The sequence below is a fragment of the Homo sapiens genome, chromosome 8, assembly GCF_000001405.40.
Source record: "Homo sapiens chromosome 8, GRCh38.p14 Primary Assembly".
Taxonomy (NCBI): Eukaryota; Metazoa; Chordata; class Mammalia; order Primates; family Hominidae; genus Homo; species Homo sapiens.
Genome location: NC_000008.11, coordinates 137399082 through 137418044, shown reverse-complemented (window position 1 = coordinate 137418044; position 18963 = coordinate 137399082). Strand labels below are relative to the sequence as shown.

The following is an 18963-nucleotide window of genomic DNA, read 5'->3' as shown; positions in this document are numbered from 1 at the left end:
GGTGAAGATAATTGAATCTGGGGGGCAGTTTCCCATATACTGTTCTCCTGGTAGTGAATAAGTCTCATGAGATCTGATGGCTTTATAAAGAGCAGTTCCCCTGCACAAGCTCTCTCTTGCTTGCTGCCATGTAAGAAGTGACTTTACTCCTCTTTGGCCTTCAGCCATGATTGTGAGGACTCCCCAGCCATGTGGAACTGTGAGTCAGTTAAACCTCTCTTCTTTGTAAATTACTATATCGTGGGTATGTCTTTATTAGCTGTGTGAAAATAGACTAATACAAATACAGCTACCTAGACCACTTGTGTGTGTGTGTGTGTGTGTGTGTATGCATACCCATACTGCATATGTGTGTATGTATGCTGGCTTAGTGATGACTTAGTTTTAGTAGGAAATCTGGAGCAACTATATGTGTAAATATATATATGTTTGTGTGTGTGTGTGTGTGTCTCAAAAATTTGAATGCAAGTAGCATGATATATAAGAAGTATTAATTAGAATTTGTTAAAAAAAGATACAACACTTTCTTTGCCATTCACTCAGGAGGAATTACCCAGCTATAATTGGGCATAGGAAGAACCTTAGATTATGAGGTTACATTACAGCTGGCATGCATTATGTTTAGAAAAATAGATGTTGTGTTTATGAGTTGCTCTAGAAATACTTTACTCTCTTCAACCCCTAAGTTTCTGCCAGAATTTAAATGCCTTTGTAAGATGTTGAATTGTGCTATTCACAACACTACAAAACTGTCCTGTGCTCAAGTGAGCAGATGATAGTACTCAGATCTTCCAATTTAAAAGATTCACAGGAGGATCCTACTAAAATTAGTCTCTATAAACTGACTCCCACATTTCTTTATCGCTCTAACATTTTCCCCTTGCGCTTTTAACTTTCTGATGAAACTTACAAACTGGGTGTTCTACAGTTTCTCAAATACATTGTGTCTGAAGTTGGATTTATCTTCCTTGCCTGCCTAATCCCCTCTCTTGTTCAATTTATGACACTATCACAACTCCTATTATTCAGACTCTAATGTATGTACAGTAGTCTTTTTTTCATTCCCCTCTACATTGTTTTTCTCAACTAATAAATAAGATTTCTAATTCAGTTACTAATTTCCTCTGCCCCTTGACTAATTTCCTAAACAGTCTCCACTATATCACTTTCCCCTTTGATTTATTCTAAACATACAATCAGTTCACATCAATGATAATAGCACTATAATAAAAAGATGACTAGATCAAGAGACAGATTAGTCTCAGTTCAGCCAGAGATAAGATTAAAACCTTTAGTATATTATTTACATTCTAAAGCCTCCACTTTGTATTTTGGTAAAGTAATTGTGAAACTAAACCATTTATGTTTACTACTTTTTTCAGTTCATTCTTGTTTATTGGACATAAAATATGTACTAAAAGTACAGAGAGTATAGACTGTAAGAATTAAAGAAAGAGGAAAGAAACATAAAAGGTGGCTTGCCAAAACACTTAAAAACTCTTTGTCTGTTAGACAGTGTGCCTCTGACCTAACTCAGCCAGAAGGCTCTTCTCAGGTTTGTTTCTCTAAAATAAACCCATATTAACTGGTATGCCACCTTTTGTGTTCCTTCCTTCTTTAATTCTTACATTGACAAATATTAAAAAATAGATACCACTGGATGGTATCTCATCCAAATGAGTGCCATTCAACAGGCACTTATTTATTCTTTACGCTGTCAAAAATGTTAGGCATTTCAGAAAGAGATGAACAAAACAGATTGTCCTTAGTAGAGGTGCTACATTGCAGTGATAAAGTCTGTTCTTTTAGTAAACTCTCAACAAATATGTTATATAAGTATGTGTGTATGCCTATATGTATAGTCAAAATATATATTCAATATGTTATATGTATATTTGTACATATGACAAATGTTAGAAAAACAATATAAATTTTATCTCACTTTGCTTTTCTAACATTAATTTGAATGTTTTTTCATGTATTTAATTATAACATAGTTTACCAAATTCCCAATTTAAACCATATAAAAGAAAACAGTTCCAATTGTTAAGTATTTACATTGTTTATAATTATTTGTCCCATAAACAATATGAAAATGAATTTTCTTTAAAATTGATTTCTAAATGCATCTCTGAGTACTTCATTGGAATACAGTAAAAGAAATTAATATCTTGAAACTTCCAATCTGCTCTATATTTATGCTAATAAAAATATAATGCAAGCCGCATATATAAGTTTAAGTTTTCTAGTGGACACACTAAAAAGAGTAAAAAGAAATAAATGAAGTTAATCACTTCTTGGCCTTTTGGCTAAGATCAAGTGAAGAAATAAGTAAAATTAACAGTAATAATTTATTTAACCCAATTTATTAAAATATTTCAATGTATAATTATTTAAGAATAATTAAAAAGATATTACATTTTCTAGGTTTTATGGTATTTGTCCCTCAAAACTGAATAAGTGTTTTACACTTAAATCATAGCTCAGTTGACTTGCTGGATTTCAAGTTCTCAATAGCCATACGTGGCTAGTGGCTATCTCACTGAACAGCACAGTTATAGACTGTATAATCAGAATGAAAGCTTCCACAGAACACAGCTGCCTAAAAAATTTATATTTACACTTACAGTACCTGTAATAGTACCTCATCCATGCACAAACACAATAAATATTTATGGAATGAATGTATAAATGCACAAATGTTGGTATATTTCAAATCCAACTTACATAAATGTGGGAAAAAGAGAGATCAGATTGTTACTGTGTCTGTGTAGAAAGAAGTAGACATAAGAGACTCCATTTTGTTCTGTACTAAGAAAAATTCTTCTGCCTTGAGATGCTGTTAATCTGTAACCCTACCCACAACCCTGTGCTCCCTAAGACATGTGCTGTGTCAACTCAGGGTTAAATGGATTAAGGGCTGTGCAGGGTGTGCTTTGTTAAACAAAGGCTTGAAGGCAGCCTGCTTGTTAAGAGTCTTCATCACTCCCTAATCTCAAGTACCCAGAGACACAAAACACTGCAGAAGGCCACAGGGACCTCTGCCTAGGAAAGCCAGGTATTGTCCAAGGTTTCTCCACATGTGATAGCCTGAAATATGGCCTCGTGGGAAGGGAAAGACCTGACCATCCCCCAGCCCGACACCAGTAAAGGGTCTGTGCTGAGGAGGATTAGTAAAAGAGGAAGGAATCCCTCTTTGCAGTTGAGATAAGAGGAAGGCTTCTGTCTCCTGCTCCTCCCTGGGCAATGGAATGTCTCAGTGTAAAGCCCGATTGTATATTCCAACTACTGAGATAGGGGAAAACGGCCTTAGGGCTGGAGGTGGGACATGCTGTCAGCAATACTGCTCTTTAAGGCATTGAGATGTTTATATATATGCTAATCAAAAGCACAGCACTTTTTTCTTTACCTTGTTTATGATGCTGAGACATTTGTTCACGTGTTTACCTGCTGACCTCTCCACTATTATCCTATTGTCCTGCCACATCCCCCTCTCTGGGAAATGCCCGATAATGATCAATAAATACTAAGGGAACTCAGAGGCTGGTGCCCATGTGGATCCTCCGTAAGCTGAACGCCGGCCCCCTGGGCCCCTTTTTCTTTCTCTATACTTTGTCTCTGTGTGTCTTTCTTTTCCAAGTCTCTCATTCCACCTACTGAGAAACACCCACAGGTGTAGAGGGGTAACCCATCCCTTCATATAAATGTCAGTACCTGTTTATATGATTGCTGGTTGCCTAGCTCTCAATACACATTTTATTTATTTAAATATTTTCTAAATGTAGAGGAGCATACTGATATGTCACTATCATTTAGTATTTCTCTTATTTATATGACCTCAGTCATATTCCATACAATAATTGACCATTTGCATTTTAATTTTGTTTATATTGCAGCTCCATTACCAATTATTTAATTGGAATATTTGTGTTATTTTAATAATTACTTGTATTATATATATGCATGTATCTATGTACCTATATTGTGGCCTTCCTTGCTTTTGTGGTGAAAGTTCTTGTGAATTTTTATTTTAATGCTTTAAAGTTGATTATAATGGATTTTACCTATAACATTTTAAACATATTATTAGGGAATTCTCATTTTGTCCATTTTGTGTTTCCCTAATGATATTCAATTAAAATTATAGATTACTATAGTCAGGCCTCTGAGCCCAAGCTAAGCCATCATATCCCCTGTGACCTGCACGTACACATCCAGATGGCCGGTTCCTGCCTTAACTGATGACATTCCACCACAAAAGAAATGAAAATGGTCTGTTCCTGCCTTAACTGATGGCATTATCTTGTGAAATTCCTGCTCCTGGCTCATCCTGGCTCAAAATCTCCCCTACTGAGCACCTTGTGACCGCCCCCCCACTCCTGCCAGCCAGAGAGCAACCCCCCTTTTTCCTTTACCTACCCAGATCCTATAAAACGGCCCCACCCCATCTCCCTTCGCTGATTCTCTTTTCAGACTCAGCCCACCTGCACCCAGGTGAAATAAACAGCTTTATTGCTCACACAAAGCCTGTTTGGTGGTCTCTTCACGGGGACACGCATGAAATTTGGTGCTGTGATTCAGACTGGGGGACCTCCCTTGGGAGATCAATCCCCTGTCCTCCTGCTCTTTGCTCCGTGAGAAAGATCCACCTACAACCTCTGGTCCTCAGACCAACCAGCCGAAGGAACATCTCACCAATTTTAAATCTGGTAAGCAGCCTCTTTTTACTCTCTTCTCCAACCTCTCTCACTATCCCGCAACCTCTTTCTCCTTTCAATCTTGGCGCCACACTTCAATCTCTCCCTTCTCTTAATTTCAATTCCTTTCATTTTCTGGTAGAGACAAAGGAGACACGTTTTATCTGTGGACCCAAAATTCCGGCGCTGGTCACGGAGTAGGGAAGGCAGCCTTCCCTTGGTGTTTAATCATTGCAGGGACACCTCTCTGATTATTATTCACCCAGGTTTCAGAGGTGTCAGACCATGCAGGGACACCTGCCTTGGTCCTTTACCCTTAGTGGCGAGTCCTGCTTTTCTGAGGGAGGGGCAGGAACCCTGACCTCTTATCTCTATGCCCCAATCCCTTATTTCCATGCCCCAACCTCTTATCTCTGTGCCCCATCCATTATTTCCACACCCTGACATCTTATCTCTGTGCCCCAACCCCTTATTTCCATGCCCTGACCCCTTCTCTGCTTTTCTGGAAGGCAAGAACCCCCCACGCCTTCTCCGTGTCTCTACTGTCTTTTCTCTAGGTTTGCCTCCTTCACTATGGGCAAGCTTCCACCTTCCATTCCTTCTGCTTCTCCCTTAGCCTGTGTTCTTAAGAACTTAAAACCTCTTCAACTCTCGCCTGACCTAAAATCTAAGTGTCTTATTTTCTTCTGCAATCCCACTTGACCTCAATACAAACTTGACAGTAGTTCCAAATAGCCAAAAAAAATGGCACTTTCAATTTTTCCATCCTACAAGATCTAAATAATTCTTTGTCATAAAATGGGCAAATGGTCTGAGGTGCCTGATGTCCAGGCATTCTTTTAGATGTCGGGCCCTTCCTAGTCTCTCTTCCCAATGCAACTTGTCCCAAATCTTCCTTCTTTCCCTCCCGCCTGTCCCCTCAGTCCCAACCCCAAGTGTCACTGAGTCTTCCAGATCTTCCTTTTCTGCATACCTAGCTGACCTCTCCCCTCCTCACCAAGCTGAGCTAAGTCCCAATTCTTCCTCAGCCTTCGCTCCTCCACCTATAATCCTTTTATCACCTCCCCTCCTCACACCTGGTCTCGCTTACAGTTTCGTTCTGTGACTAGCCCTCCCCCACCTGCCCAGCAATTTCCTCTGAAAAAGGTGGCTGGAGCTACTAAAGGTATAATCAAGGTTAATGCTCCTTTTTCTTTTTCCCAAATCAGATAGCATTTAGGCTCTTTTTCATCAAATATAAAAATCCAGCCCAGTTCATGGCTCATTTGGCAGCAACCCTGAGACACTTTACAGCCCTAGACCCTAAAAGGTCAAAAGGCCATCTTATTCTCAATATACATTTTATCACCCAATCTGCTCCCGACATTAAATAAAACTCCAAAAATTAAATTCCGGCCCTCAAACCCCACAACAGGACTTAATTAACCTTGCCTTCAGGGTGTACAATAATAGAGTAGAGGCAGCCAAGTAGCAACATATTTCTGAGTTGCAATTCCTTGCCTCCACTGTGAGACAAACCCCAGCCACATCTCCAGCACACAAGAACTTCCAAACACCTAAACCGCAGTGGCCAGGCATTCCTCCAGAACCGCCTCCCCCAGGAGCTTGCTACAAGTGCCAGAAATCTGGCCACCAGGCCAAGGAATGCCCGCAGCCCAGGATTCCTCCTAAGCTGTGTCCCATCTGTGCAAGACCCCACTGGAAATCGGACTGTTCAACTCACCTGGCAGCCACTCCCAGAGCCCCTGGAACTCTGGCCCAAGGCTCTCTGACTGACTCCTTCCCAGATCTTCTCAGCTTAGCAGCTGAAGACTGATGCTGCCCGATCGCCTTGGAAGCCCTGTAGACCATCACAGATGCCGAGTTTTAGGTAACTCTCACAGTGGAGGGTAAGTCCTTCCCCTTCTTAATCAATATGGAGGCCACCCACTCCACATTACCTTGTTTTCAAGGGCTGTTTCCCTTGCCTCCATAACTGTTGTAGGTATTGACAGCCAGGCTTCTAAACCTCTTAAAACTCCCCAACTCTGGTGCCAACTTAGACAATACTCTTTTAAGCACTCCTTTTTAGTTATCCCACCTGCCCAGTTCCCTTATTAGGCCAAGACACTTTAACTAGATTATCTGCTTCCCTGACTATTCCTGGATTACAGCTACATCTCATTGCCACCCTTCTTCCCAATCCAAAGCCTCCTTTGCGTCCTCCTCTTTTATCCCCCCACCTTAACCCACAAGTATAAGATACCTCTACTCCCTCCTAGGTGACTGATCATGCACCGCTTACCATCTCATTAAAACCTAATCACCCTTACCCCGCTCAATGCCAATATCCCATCCCACAGCATGCTTTCAAAGGATTAAAGCCTGTTATCACTCGCCTGCTACAGCATGGCCTTTTAAAGCCTATAAACTCTCCTTACAATTCCCCCATTTTACCTGTCCTAAAACCAGACAAGCCTTACAAGTTAGTTCAGGATCTATGCCTTATCAACCAAATTGTTTTGCTTATCCACCCCATGGTGCCAAACCCATATACTCTCCTATCCTCAATACCTCCCTCCAAAATCCATTATTCTGTTCTAGATCTCAAAGATGCTTTCTTTATATTCCTTTGCACCCTTCATCCCAGCCTCTCTTTGCTTTCACCTGGACTGACCCTGACACCCATCAAGCTCAGCAAATTACCTAGGCTGTACTGCCGCAAAGCTTCACAGGCAGTCCCCATTACTTCAGTCAAGCCCACGTTTCTTCCTCATCTGTTACCTATCTTGGCATAATTCTCATAAAAACACACGTGCTCTCCCTGCTGATCATGTCCAGCTAATCTCCCAAACCCCAATCCCTTCTACAAAACAACAACTCCTTTCCTTCCTGGGCATAGTTAGATACTTTCGCCTTTGGATACCTGGTTTTGCCATCCTAAAAAAACCATTATATAACTCACAAAAGGAAGCCTAGCTGACCCCATAGATCCTAAATCCTTTCCCCACTCCTCTTTCCATTCCTTGAAGACAGCTTTAGAGACTGACCCCACCCTAGCTCTCCCTGACTCATCCAACCCTTTTCATTACACACAGCTGAAGTGCAGGGCTGTGTATTCAGAATTCTTATGCAAGGACTGGGATCACATTCTGTAGCCTTTTTGTCCAAACAACTTGACCTTACTGTTTTAGGCTGGCCATCTTATCTCCGTGCAGTGGCTGCTGCTGCCCTAATACTTTTAGAGGCCCTTAAAATCACAAACTATGCACAACTCACTCTCTACAGCTCTCCTAATTTCCAAAATCTGTTTTCTTCCTCACACCTGACACATATACTTTCTGCTCCCTGGCTCCTTCAGCTGTACTCACTCTTTGTTGAGTCTCCCACAATTACCATTGTTCCTGGCCAACTTCAATCTGGCCTCCCACATTATTCCTGATACCACACCTGACCCTCATGACTGCATCTCTCTGATCCACCTGACGTTCACCACATTTCCCCACATTTCCTTCTTCCCTGTTTCTCACCCTGATCACACTTGGTTTATTGATGACAGTTCCACCAGGCCTAATCGCCACACACCAGCAAAGGCAGGCTATGCTATAGTACAAGCCACTAGCCCGCCTCTTAGAACCTCTCATTTCCTTTCCATCGTGGAAACCTATCCTCAAGGAAATAATTTCTCAGTGTTCTATCTGCTGTTCTACTACTCCTCAAGGATTATTCAGGGCCCCTCCCTTCCCTACACATCAAGCTCAAGGATTTACCCCTGCCCAGGACTGGCAAATTAGCTTTACTCAACATGCCCTGAGTCAGGAAACTAAAATACCTCTTGGTCTAGGTAGACACTTTCACTGGATAGGTAGAGGCCTTTCCCACAGGGTCTAAGAAGGCCACCATGGTCATTTCTTCCCTTCTGTCAGACATAATTCCTCAGTTTGGCCTTCCCATAAGATTAATTATGAGCCAATCCCATAATAAGCTTTTTTGTAAGTTTTTTTTTTTTAAAAAGAGCCATTAGAAAGCTAGCTTAGTTTCCCAACCGTCTAAAATAATAATGATGAAGATAATGATCATTATTATAGTAAAGATAAAAATAATAATGTCAATGTTAGATTGAAAGAGCACAATTTTAGAATAAAACCATAAAGCAATTGTATTCTTTCTCACAACTTCCCCTGCAACCTTTTCTATTTGCTTCTTTTCCCTAATCCAATTGGATAAAAACTAAGGTGGTTTCCACCACACATATGGCCACTTCAAATAAAATACTGACCTTTTATCACAAGAATGGTCTTAGTTCTGTTACTAATATGTCATGACCTGGGTCTCATTCAAACTCTGAACTTCATACACAATCCTCGATTCTTTTCTTCCCCAGCCATAGTCAGCTGAAAGAAATCAGCCTGCAGTAGGAGAGGAAACTCTTAACTGCATCTTCTACAGAATAAAAGCTGAGGGTGGGAGGAAGGGTAAGAAAGTGAGATAAATCTCATTCTATTGAAGCTGGAATTAAATTCTAACGCCCACAAGGGGTGATTAATAAAATCCTCTCTGGCTTAGGGAAGCAGTCAAAGTTTACACTTTTTTCTAATGCACCATTTTTGTGGTATCCTTGGAGACTCACATTGCTGGGGATTTTTTATCCTCAATGATGCAAAAGCTATTGGCTGCTTAAAACTCCCAATTCAAGCCCCAATTATTGTTGCAACTGATGTAGGTTTCAACCCAGGTTGTATATCTCATGCATGTGTATGTGCCCCCACCCCCTACACACATGAAATTAACAAGACTCATGAATCTGTGTCCATTAACTCATGGGAGTGCAGTTCCAACCTGCTATGTATGGCCATAGTCACTTCTATCTTCTCACTGCCCCTTGCATTTCCTAGGTCTAAGTCCATTATGAATATACTTTGATCTCTCAGTTTGAAAGGACAGGGGGAACAGTATATCATGCTCTCTGAACAATCTCCTTAGAACCTCTTTCACTTAACTTTGCACGATAGAACTCTGTCCAACATATCTCCCCAGTGATAGTGGCAGGATACAAAGTAACTCTATATCTCTCCCGACAGGTATTCTATAAATCTGAACTTCTTGTCCTCAATGTTAACCCATTTTTGCCCTCAAATTATGTGTTATGGAGGGATCACAGTCTGTTTTTCAGCTGTTTCATGTGTAAGTCCTGTCTAGATTGCCTCCTAACACTCCTGAATGCCTGAATTTTTGTCAATTATTTTCTTGATTCTTTAGTGAAACCTTTGCTGAACATGCCATTAAAAAAATGTTTCAGCAGTCAGATCATTTGCAGGGACATGGATGAAGCTGGAAACCATCATCCTCAGCAAGCCAACACAGGAACAGAAAACCAAACACCGCATGTTCTCACTCGTAAGTGGGAGTTGAACAATGAGAACATGTAGACACAGGGAGAGGAACATCACACACTGGAGCCTGTCAGTGGGTGAGGGGAAAGGGGAGAAAGGGCATTAGGACAAACACCTAATGCATGTAGGGCTTAAAACCTAGATGACAGGTTGATAGGTGCAGCAAACCACCACAGCACATGTATACTTATGTAAAAAACCTACACATTCAGCACATGTATCCCAGAACTTAAAAAAAAAAAGCCATACATATTCTGTTCATAGCTAATAAAAACATACAAAGGAAAACACAAAACCAACACATATATACTTTTATAATTTAAGGGGCCCTATCACATTCTCCCATTTATGTTCATATTTTGTTCCTTTCCTTTCCTTTCCTTTCCTTTCCTTTCCTTTCCTTTCCTTTCCTTTCCTTTCCATCTTTCCTTTCCCTTTAAAAAAAATTTTTTTTTCATGTGAGATGGAGTTTCACTCTTGTTGCCCAGGCTGGAATGCAATGGCACAATCTCAGCTCACTGCCACCTCCTCCTCTCGGGTTCAAGCGATTCTCCTGCCTCAGCCTCCCAAGTAGATGAGATTATAGGCACCAACCACCACGCCCAGCTAATTTTTGTATTTTTAGTAGAGACTGGGTTTCACCATGTTGGTCAGGCTGGTCTAGAACTCCTGACTTCAGGTGATCCACCCGTCTCGGGCCCCCCAAAGTGCTGGGATTACAGGCATGAGTCACCACACTCAGCCCCATTTATATTAAAATTTTCACATTTTCTTTAATTAATCTGAAACTCAAATAATTTAATTAATCCCCAATTTCCTTAAGCCAACAGGTGGTGAAGCTGAGGCATGCGCCTAGATCTCTACCTGCTAATTCTGCATATTTCCATTTTACCACTATGCCAAGCTGTCATGCAAACGTCATGAAGTAGGACCTAAGCAGAGAAGGTGCTACCCTAGAACTAAAGAGGGTTAAGACTTGACTGTGATAGGGTGCTGAGGGGGTGTGGTTAGAAAGGTGTGTACATTGAGAACTAAAGTCATTCTCAAATGTGGAATACACACCTGAGTCCCTTTGAAAAGCCCCTTGGAGTGCACTGATATTGGGGTGGTCTGGATGCAATTTTACGTTCTAACTCATGATTTAGGGTCAACATTTAAAGAAAAATAATTTTTATTATAGAAATAAGCTGGACAAATATGCACTCCTAGATGACTTTTGAGTAGTGATATCTCCTTGGATATTTTCATTGCTCTTGACAGATTCAAGGCTGCAGAGAACTAGTGTTGCCTTATGGTTTTCTCCCTGGGGAGTGCTTTGCATATGAAGTCAGAAAACAAAGGGGGGCTCTGAAAACTCCTCCATCCTTGACAAGATAACACAGAGAAAGGACCAAAAAGGACCAGAGGGAAGAGGAGGTAAAAGGGAATGAGGCATGTGACACTGGCTAAATAAATCATTCTCATTGAAATTCCATGTCATCATAAGGTTAATGAAGGTGGGAATGCTCATCCCTACCATTTATGATTCTAGCTTTGCTCCTATGTAAAATTAAGGTACAGCAGAAGTTTGAGAACCTATTCAGACAAACTAGTTTTAAAAGAGTATTCTTTACTTACTAATTCAGTACACGCCTACTGAGTACTGTTGTGCTGCCATCACTGGGCCAAGAACTGAGGATACAAAAATCAGAAAGATGTGTTTTTTGCCTTCTAAAACATATGGTCTCAGGAGTTAGGACGCTAAATGGAAAACTAAATTACATCTTAATAGGAGCAATGGAATCATCAGGTGTATAACCTAGTAGCAGGAAGCTCAATGGAAATCCCAGATGTCCTTACAAAGGGCCACAACATGCTTATGGGAGTGTCTGGTAACCTGAGGCAGTCAGGAAGGTAGTTGCCAGGGGGTACAAATTTGACCTTGATTGCTGATGATCTCCTTCATTGGCAAGGATGGAAAGATGTAATTATTGGTACACTCAATATTATGATGCTAATTATAGGAATATTACCAAGAAAGTAGAGTAAATTTTATTTGCTCTTCAGGAGTAAAAGACAGACACTCTACGTATAAAGACTTTGTTTATAGATCTTTTTTCCCCTTTTTGTCAAGTTCGAAAGAGTGAGTGAAGGTAAGCCCAAGCAATAGCATCTCTTTATTATTGATTTTAATCCTTCTTTTTATATTCTGAATATAAGCTGTTATATTTATTTGCTGTAAATATTTTTCTTAGTTTGTGTTCTACGTGTTTTCTTAATGATGTCCTTAGGTGAGAAGAAATTTTAAATTTGATAAAATATATTTCATCAGTGGTTTATTGTTTTTATTGTGTGCGTGTGTGTGTGTGGCATATCCTACTATAGGGATGTGAAGATATATTTCCATTATTTCTTCTAGAGAAATGATTCTCAAATGGAGCCTATTTTGCCTCCCAGAAAACATTTGGTAAAATCTGAAGACATTTTTAGTTGTTACAAAAGAAGAGGTGCTAACTGGCCAAAAATGCCAATCCTTCAGAGGTTGAGAAATCTTACTTTATAATTGTTATGCATAGGCCTATAATCCATTTAAATTAATCTTGGAACATAGAGTGAAATAGGAGATAGGTGTATTTTTCAGCCTTAACTACTTTACTGCCATTACATTTAAGTCTTTATCCATCTTCAGTTGATTTTTGTATATGGAATAAGGAAGGGGTCCAGTTTCAATCTTCTGCATATGGCTAGCCAGTTATCCCATGACCATTTATTGAATAGGGACTCTTTTGGTCCCATTGCTTGTTTCTGTCAACTTTGCTAAAGTTCAGATGGTCATAGGTGTGCAGTCTTAATTCTCGGTTCTCTATTCTGTTGCATTGGTCCTTGTGCCTGTTTGTTTGTTTGTTTTTGCCAGTGCCATGCTCTTTTGGTTACTGTAGTGCTGTAGTATAGTTTTAAGTTGGGTAATGTGATGTCTCCAGCTTTTTTTTTTTCCCCCTTAGGATTGCCCCAACTATTAGGGCTTTTTTTTTTTTTTTTGGTCCCATGTGAATTTTAAAACAGTTTTTCTAGTTCTGTGGAGAATATCATTAGTAGTGTGATAGAAATAGCATTGAATCTGTAAATTGCTTTGGGTAGTATGGCCATTTTAATGATATTGATTCTTCCTGTCTATGAGCATGGGATATTTTCCAATTTGCGTCTTCTCTGATTTCTTTGAGCACTATTTCATAATTCTCATTGTAGAGGTCTTTTACCTTCCTGGTTAGCTGTACTCCTAAATATTTTATTCTTTTTGTAGCAATTGTGAATGGAATTACCTTTCTGATTTGGCTGTTGGCTTGGCTGTTGTTGGTGTATAGGAATGCTAGTTATTTTTGTACATTGATTTTGTTTCCCAAAACTTTGCTGAAGTTTATCAACTGAAGGAACTTTTGGGCAGAGAATGTGGGGATTTCTAGGTGTAGAATCATACCAGCAAACAGGGATATTTTGGCTTCCTCTCTTTTTATTTGAATGCCTTTTATTTCTTTCTCTTGACTAATTACTCTGGCCAGGACTTCCAGTACAATTTTGCATAAGAGTGGTGACAGAGAGCATCCTTGTCTTTTTCTGGTTTTCAAAAGCAATGCTTCTAGCTTTTGCCCATCTAGTATGATGTTGGGTGTGGGTTTGCAATAGATGGCTGTTTTTATTTTGAAGTATGTTCCTTCAATGCCTAGTTTGTTAAGAGTTTTTAATATGAAGTGATGTTAAATTTTATTGAAAGCCTTTTCTGTATCTATTGAGATAGACATAAAATTTTTGTTTTTAGATCATTTCTGTGTTGATATTTCTTGATTTGTGTATGTTGAAGCAACCTTGCATCCCAATGATAAATCCTACTTGATTGTGGTGGATTAGCTTTTCATATGCTGCTGGATTTGATTTGCTGGTTGCTGTTGAAGATGATTGCACCTATGTTCATCAAAGGTATTGACCTGAAGCTTTTTTTTTTTTTTTTCTGTTGTGTCTGTGCCTGGTTTTGATATCAGGATGATGCTGGCCTCATAGAATGAGTTAGGGTCCCTCCTCTTCAATTTTTTTGGAATAGTTTCAGTAGGAATGGTACCAGATCTTTATTATACATCTGGTAGAATTTGTAAATCCATCTGATCCTGGGCTTTTTTGTTTGGCAGGCTTTTTGTTACTGATTCAATTCTGAAGTTCTTTATTAGTTTCTTCAGGAATACAATTTCTTCCTTGTTCAGTCTTGGGAGGGTATATGTGTCCAGGAATTTATCCATTTCTTCTAGGTTTTCTAGCATATGTACACAGGAGTATACATGGCAGTCTCTGAGGGTTATTTGCATTTCTGTGGGATCAGTGGTAATGTCCTCTTTGTCATTTCTGATTGTGTTTATTTGGATCTTCTCTGTTTTTTTCTTTATTACTCTACTAGCAGTCCAGATATCTTATGAAAAAAATCAAAACAAAACTCCTGTATTTGTTGATCTTTTGTGTGGTTATCCTCATCTCAGTTACTTTCAGTTCAGCTCTGATGTGAGTTATTTCTCATCTTCTGCTAGCATTGGGGTTGGTTTGCTCTTAGATCTCTAGTTTTTTCAGTTGATGTTAAGTTGTCAATTTGAGATTTTTCTAACTTATTGATGTGGGTGTTTAGGATTATACATTTTCCTCTTAACACAGTGTTTGTTGTGTTCCAGATAGTCTAGTATGTTGTATCTTTGATCTCATTCAAAGAATTTCTTGATATCTCCCTTAATTTCATTATTTACCCAAAAGTCATTCAGGAACAGGTTGTTGAATTTCCATGGAATTAGTTGGTTGTAAGCAAATTTCTTGATATTGATTTCTATTTTTATTGTGCTGCAGTCCCAGAATGCAGTTGATATGATTTTTTTGAATTTGTTGAGTACTGTTTTATGTCCAATTGTGGGATTGATTTTGGAGTATGTGCCATGCACAGATGAGAAGAATGTATATTGTGTGTGTGTGTGTTTTTTTTTTCTTGCTGTCATGGGGAGTGAAGTGTTCTGTAGGTGTTCATTTAGTCTATTTGGTCAAGTGCTGAATTCAGGTCCTGAATATCTTTTTTAGTTTTCTGCTTTGGTGATCTGTTTAATATTATCAGTGGGGTATTGAAGGCTCCCACTATTATCATGTAGTTATTTAAATTTCTTTATAGGTCTCTTAAGTACTTGCCTTATAAATCTAGATGCTTCTGTGTTGAGTGCATAGGAATTTAGGATAGTTAGGTCTTCTTGTTGAATTGAAAACTTTCCCATTATGTAATGCCCTTTTTTGTCTTTTTCGATCTTTGTTCATTGAAACTCTATTTTGTCTGAAGTTAGAATAGCAATGCCTACTTTTTTTCTGTTTTCCATTTGCTTGGTATATTTTTCTTCATTCATTTAATTTGAGCCTATGGGTGTCATTGCATGTGAGATGGGTCTCTTGAAGACATGGCAACATTGGGTCTTGCTTCTTTATCCAACTTGCCACTCTATGACTTTTAATAGGGGCATTTAGCCCAATTACATTCAAGGTTTATATTGACATTTGTAGATTTGCTCCTGTCATCATGTTTTTAGCTAGTTATTATGCAGACTTTTTTGTGTGGTTGCTTTGTAGTGCCACTTGTCTGTGTACTTAAGTGTGCTTTTTGTTGTGGCTGGTAATGGTCTTTCCATATTTAGCACTCTGTTCAGGACCTCTTATAATGCAAGTCTGGTGGTAATGAAATCCATTAGAATTTGCTTGTCTGAAAAGGGTCATATTTCTCCACTTATGAAGCTTAGTTTTGCTACACACAAAATTCTTTCTTGGAAATTCTTTTAAGAATGCTGAATATAGGCCTCCATTCTCATCTGGCTTGTAGTTTTCTCCTGAAAGGTCTCCTGTTAACCTGATGGGGTTCCCTTAGGAGGTGACCTGCCCCTTCTCCCTAGCTGCCATTTACATTTTTTCTTTCATTTTGACCTCAGAGAATTCCATAACTATGTGTCTTGAGGATGGTCTTCTTGTGCAGTATTTCACATGGGGTTTTCTGCACTTTCTAAATTTGAATGTTGGCCTCTCTAGCAAGGTTGGGAAATTTTCATGGATGATATCCTGAAATATGTGTTTTCTAAGTGGTTTGCTTTCTCTCCTTGTATTTCAGGGATGTCAATGTGTCATAGATTCGGTCTCTTTACATGATCACATATTTCTTGCAGGTTTTGTTTACTCTTCTTTTTTTTATTTTTGTGTGACTGAGTTATTTCATAGAGCATATCTTCAAGGTCTGAGATTCTGACCTCGGTTTGGTCAATTCTGCTGTTAATACTTGCAGTTGTATTTTGAAATTCTTGAAGTGAGTTTTTCGGCCCTGTCAGCTCAGTTTGGTTCTTTCTTAAAATGGCCATGTTGCCTTTCATTTCCTGTACCATTGTATGATATTCCTTAGAATTATTCGATTGGGTTAGACTTTCTTCTGAATGTCAATGATCTTTGTTCCTATCCGTATCCTGAATTCGATTTTTGTCATTTTAGCCATTTCAGCCTAGTTAAGAACCATTGCTGGGGAACCAGTATGGTCTTTTGGAGATAAGAGGACACTCTGGCTTTTTTAGTCACACTAGTTATTGTGCTGGTTCTTTCTTGTCTATATGGGCTGATGTTCTTCTATCTTTGAAGTTTGTCTTTTGGATGGGATTTTTTTTTTTCTTTTAGCTTCTTTGATATCCCTAGGAGTTTGATTGTGGTATAAGGTGGGTTCAATCAAAGGCCTACATTTCTGGTAAATTTGAGGGGGACCATGGCTTAGCTCAGCACTCCTGGGCTTCATTCTCTAACACTGGGGAGCTGGTATGTGAAGCCAAGCTTTGTTCTTTGGCCCCTTGAAGTTGGAAAACTGCTGCCCTAGAGGGCCCAAAGTGTTCCCTGGCTGGAGGCCACCACACTCCAAAAGGTGGTGCCAGCCAACATGCTTCATTGGGTGGTAGCAGCGGAATCCATTCTTATTCACTTGTACCAGCAGCAACAGCCAACGTGAAGTGCAGGCAAGGTTGGGTGCACAGACACCAATAACAATGGCACAATAAGGTGCACATACACCCCTGCTCGAGCAGGGAAGGGGAGGTGAGGTTTGCTTGTGCACACACTTATTGGCAAAACTATGGTGGGAGGTAGCCTTAGGTGAGTGTGGGTGTGCTGGCAAATTGGCACAAGAGAGATTGCAGTTGAGGGAGATCCCAGTTGAGGGAGATGCAGTTGAGGGAGATAGGCTGGTGCACGTTGGTGGAGGCTGCTGTACTGGAACTCTCTGATATAGTCAAGCATTGCCTGCCAGTGTAAGAACTACGATGCAGGCCCCTAGGAGGTTCCTCAGTTGGGCATCTAAGACTGCACTGCAAGTAGACACAGCCAGCTGGGGCCCCAGGAGAGGCCAGCAGACAGAAGGGCACTCAGGTAAAACTGGTCCCATCTCAGGCAAGACCACCCTGCTCTGTTCAGGTCTGACAGGTTCCCTAAGGCTAGAATCTCCTATGGGATCATGACATGCCTTGGGGGATGGGTGTCATTGGTTGTGCTCCCCTGCAGACATTCCCAAATCAAACCCTCTAGGCTCTGCACAAGCAGAAGTCCTGCCCCTAGCACCTCTCTAAGCAGCTGTGTCTACTAGTTCAAGTGTCTGTGGGGGTCATGGGTCTCCTGCTCCCAGTATTCCAGGCGTCCATGGTAAGAGTGCATTGCTCTTTGTCTCTTCAACTCATCCCTATCATAGGAGTCACTAGGGTCCAGGAATGAGTCCTGCTTCATGTAAGGCCCATGCAGTTTACCCAGCTTCCTACCCTTTGAGCCCAGCATCTTTGTCCTCCCTCTGTCCACTCTCAATCCCTTCCTTGCAAAGATCTGCTCAGAGTGCACCCGTCTTCCTAGTGTCCTGGTCCCTTGGCGGCAGATGTTGGTCCTGGATGCATCTAATCAGCCCCTTTCTGCCAGCTTCTTTTCAAATGTTCTATTCTTCATTATGTCATTTTGATGCTATTGTAAATAATGTTTTTCACTTAATTTTTTAGTTGTCATAAAAAGTTTATGAAAATAAAATAGATTTCTGTATAATTGGTTTTATATCCTGCTAGGTTTTTAGATTCAGTTATTCCTTATAGCAGTGGTTTGGTGTAGGTTGCTTAAGATTTTTTATGTACACAAACATGTCCTCCAAAAATTTTTAAAACAAGTTTATTTTTGTGTTTCCCATCTTTATAACGTTTACTTTTTTTTTTTAACTTGTATTACTGTGCTGGCCAGGATCTCCAGTTCAAGATTAATAGAATAAATAAGAATAATAAATATAAATAATCTTTGCCTTTTTCTAATCTTAGGGAGGAAACATTCAATCTTTAACCATTAAGTATACTATTAGCTCTATGTTTTTTCATCAATTTCTAATTTAATCACAATTTTGTTAGAAAAATACTTTGTCTGATTTTGTTTTGATCTTTAGGAATTGATTATAATTTCTTACATAGCTCATCTAGGTGAATGTCTTCGGTGTACTTGAAAAGACTGCATTCTGCCATTGTTAGGTATTTTGTTCTGCATTTGCTAACTACATCAAATTGGTTAATATTATTTTATAAATTCAAATTATATTATATTTGTTGAGATGCCTCTGTATTGATTTATGTCTACTCACTTTGTTAGTTACTAATGCATGAGTGTTAAATACCCGAATAAATTTGTAGATTTGTGTCTCTCCTTAGCTATGTCAGTTCTTGCTTCATTTTTTGAAGCTTTGTTATTGTGTGCATAATCATTTAGCATTGTTATATCTTTTTAATGAATTGAAGCTTTTATTTCTTCAAAATATTATTTTTTATCCCTGATGATACTTGTTCTATTGAAATCTTATTTGTCTGATGTCAATA

At 39.5% G+C, this 18963-nt stretch overlaps 1 long non-coding RNA gene across 1 annotated transcript, besides 1 other annotated feature; it reads left to right on the top strand.

The window, feature by feature from the left end:
* Nucleotides 2533–3163: an enhancer, noted in NCBI's record as "NANOG-H3K27ac hESC enhancer chr8:138427125-138427755 (GRCh37/hg19 assembly coordinates)". NCBI's record gives its function as "activates a minimal SCP1, AML or CMV promoter by ChIP-STARR-seq in naive H9 embryonic stem cells {active_cell/tissue: H9 hESC(naive)}" and the evidence as "EXISTENCE:reporter gene assay evidence [ECO:0000049][PMID:30033119]".
* Nucleotides 4457–11944, top strand: LOC101927915 (uncharacterized). Its single transcript, NR_125428.1, has 3 exons — nucleotides 4457–4709; nucleotides 10893–11014; nucleotides 11330–11944. It is a non-coding gene; the product is annotated as an uncharacterized LOC101927915 (long non-coding RNA).
* Nucleotides 11945–18963: the final 7019 nt, after the last annotated feature.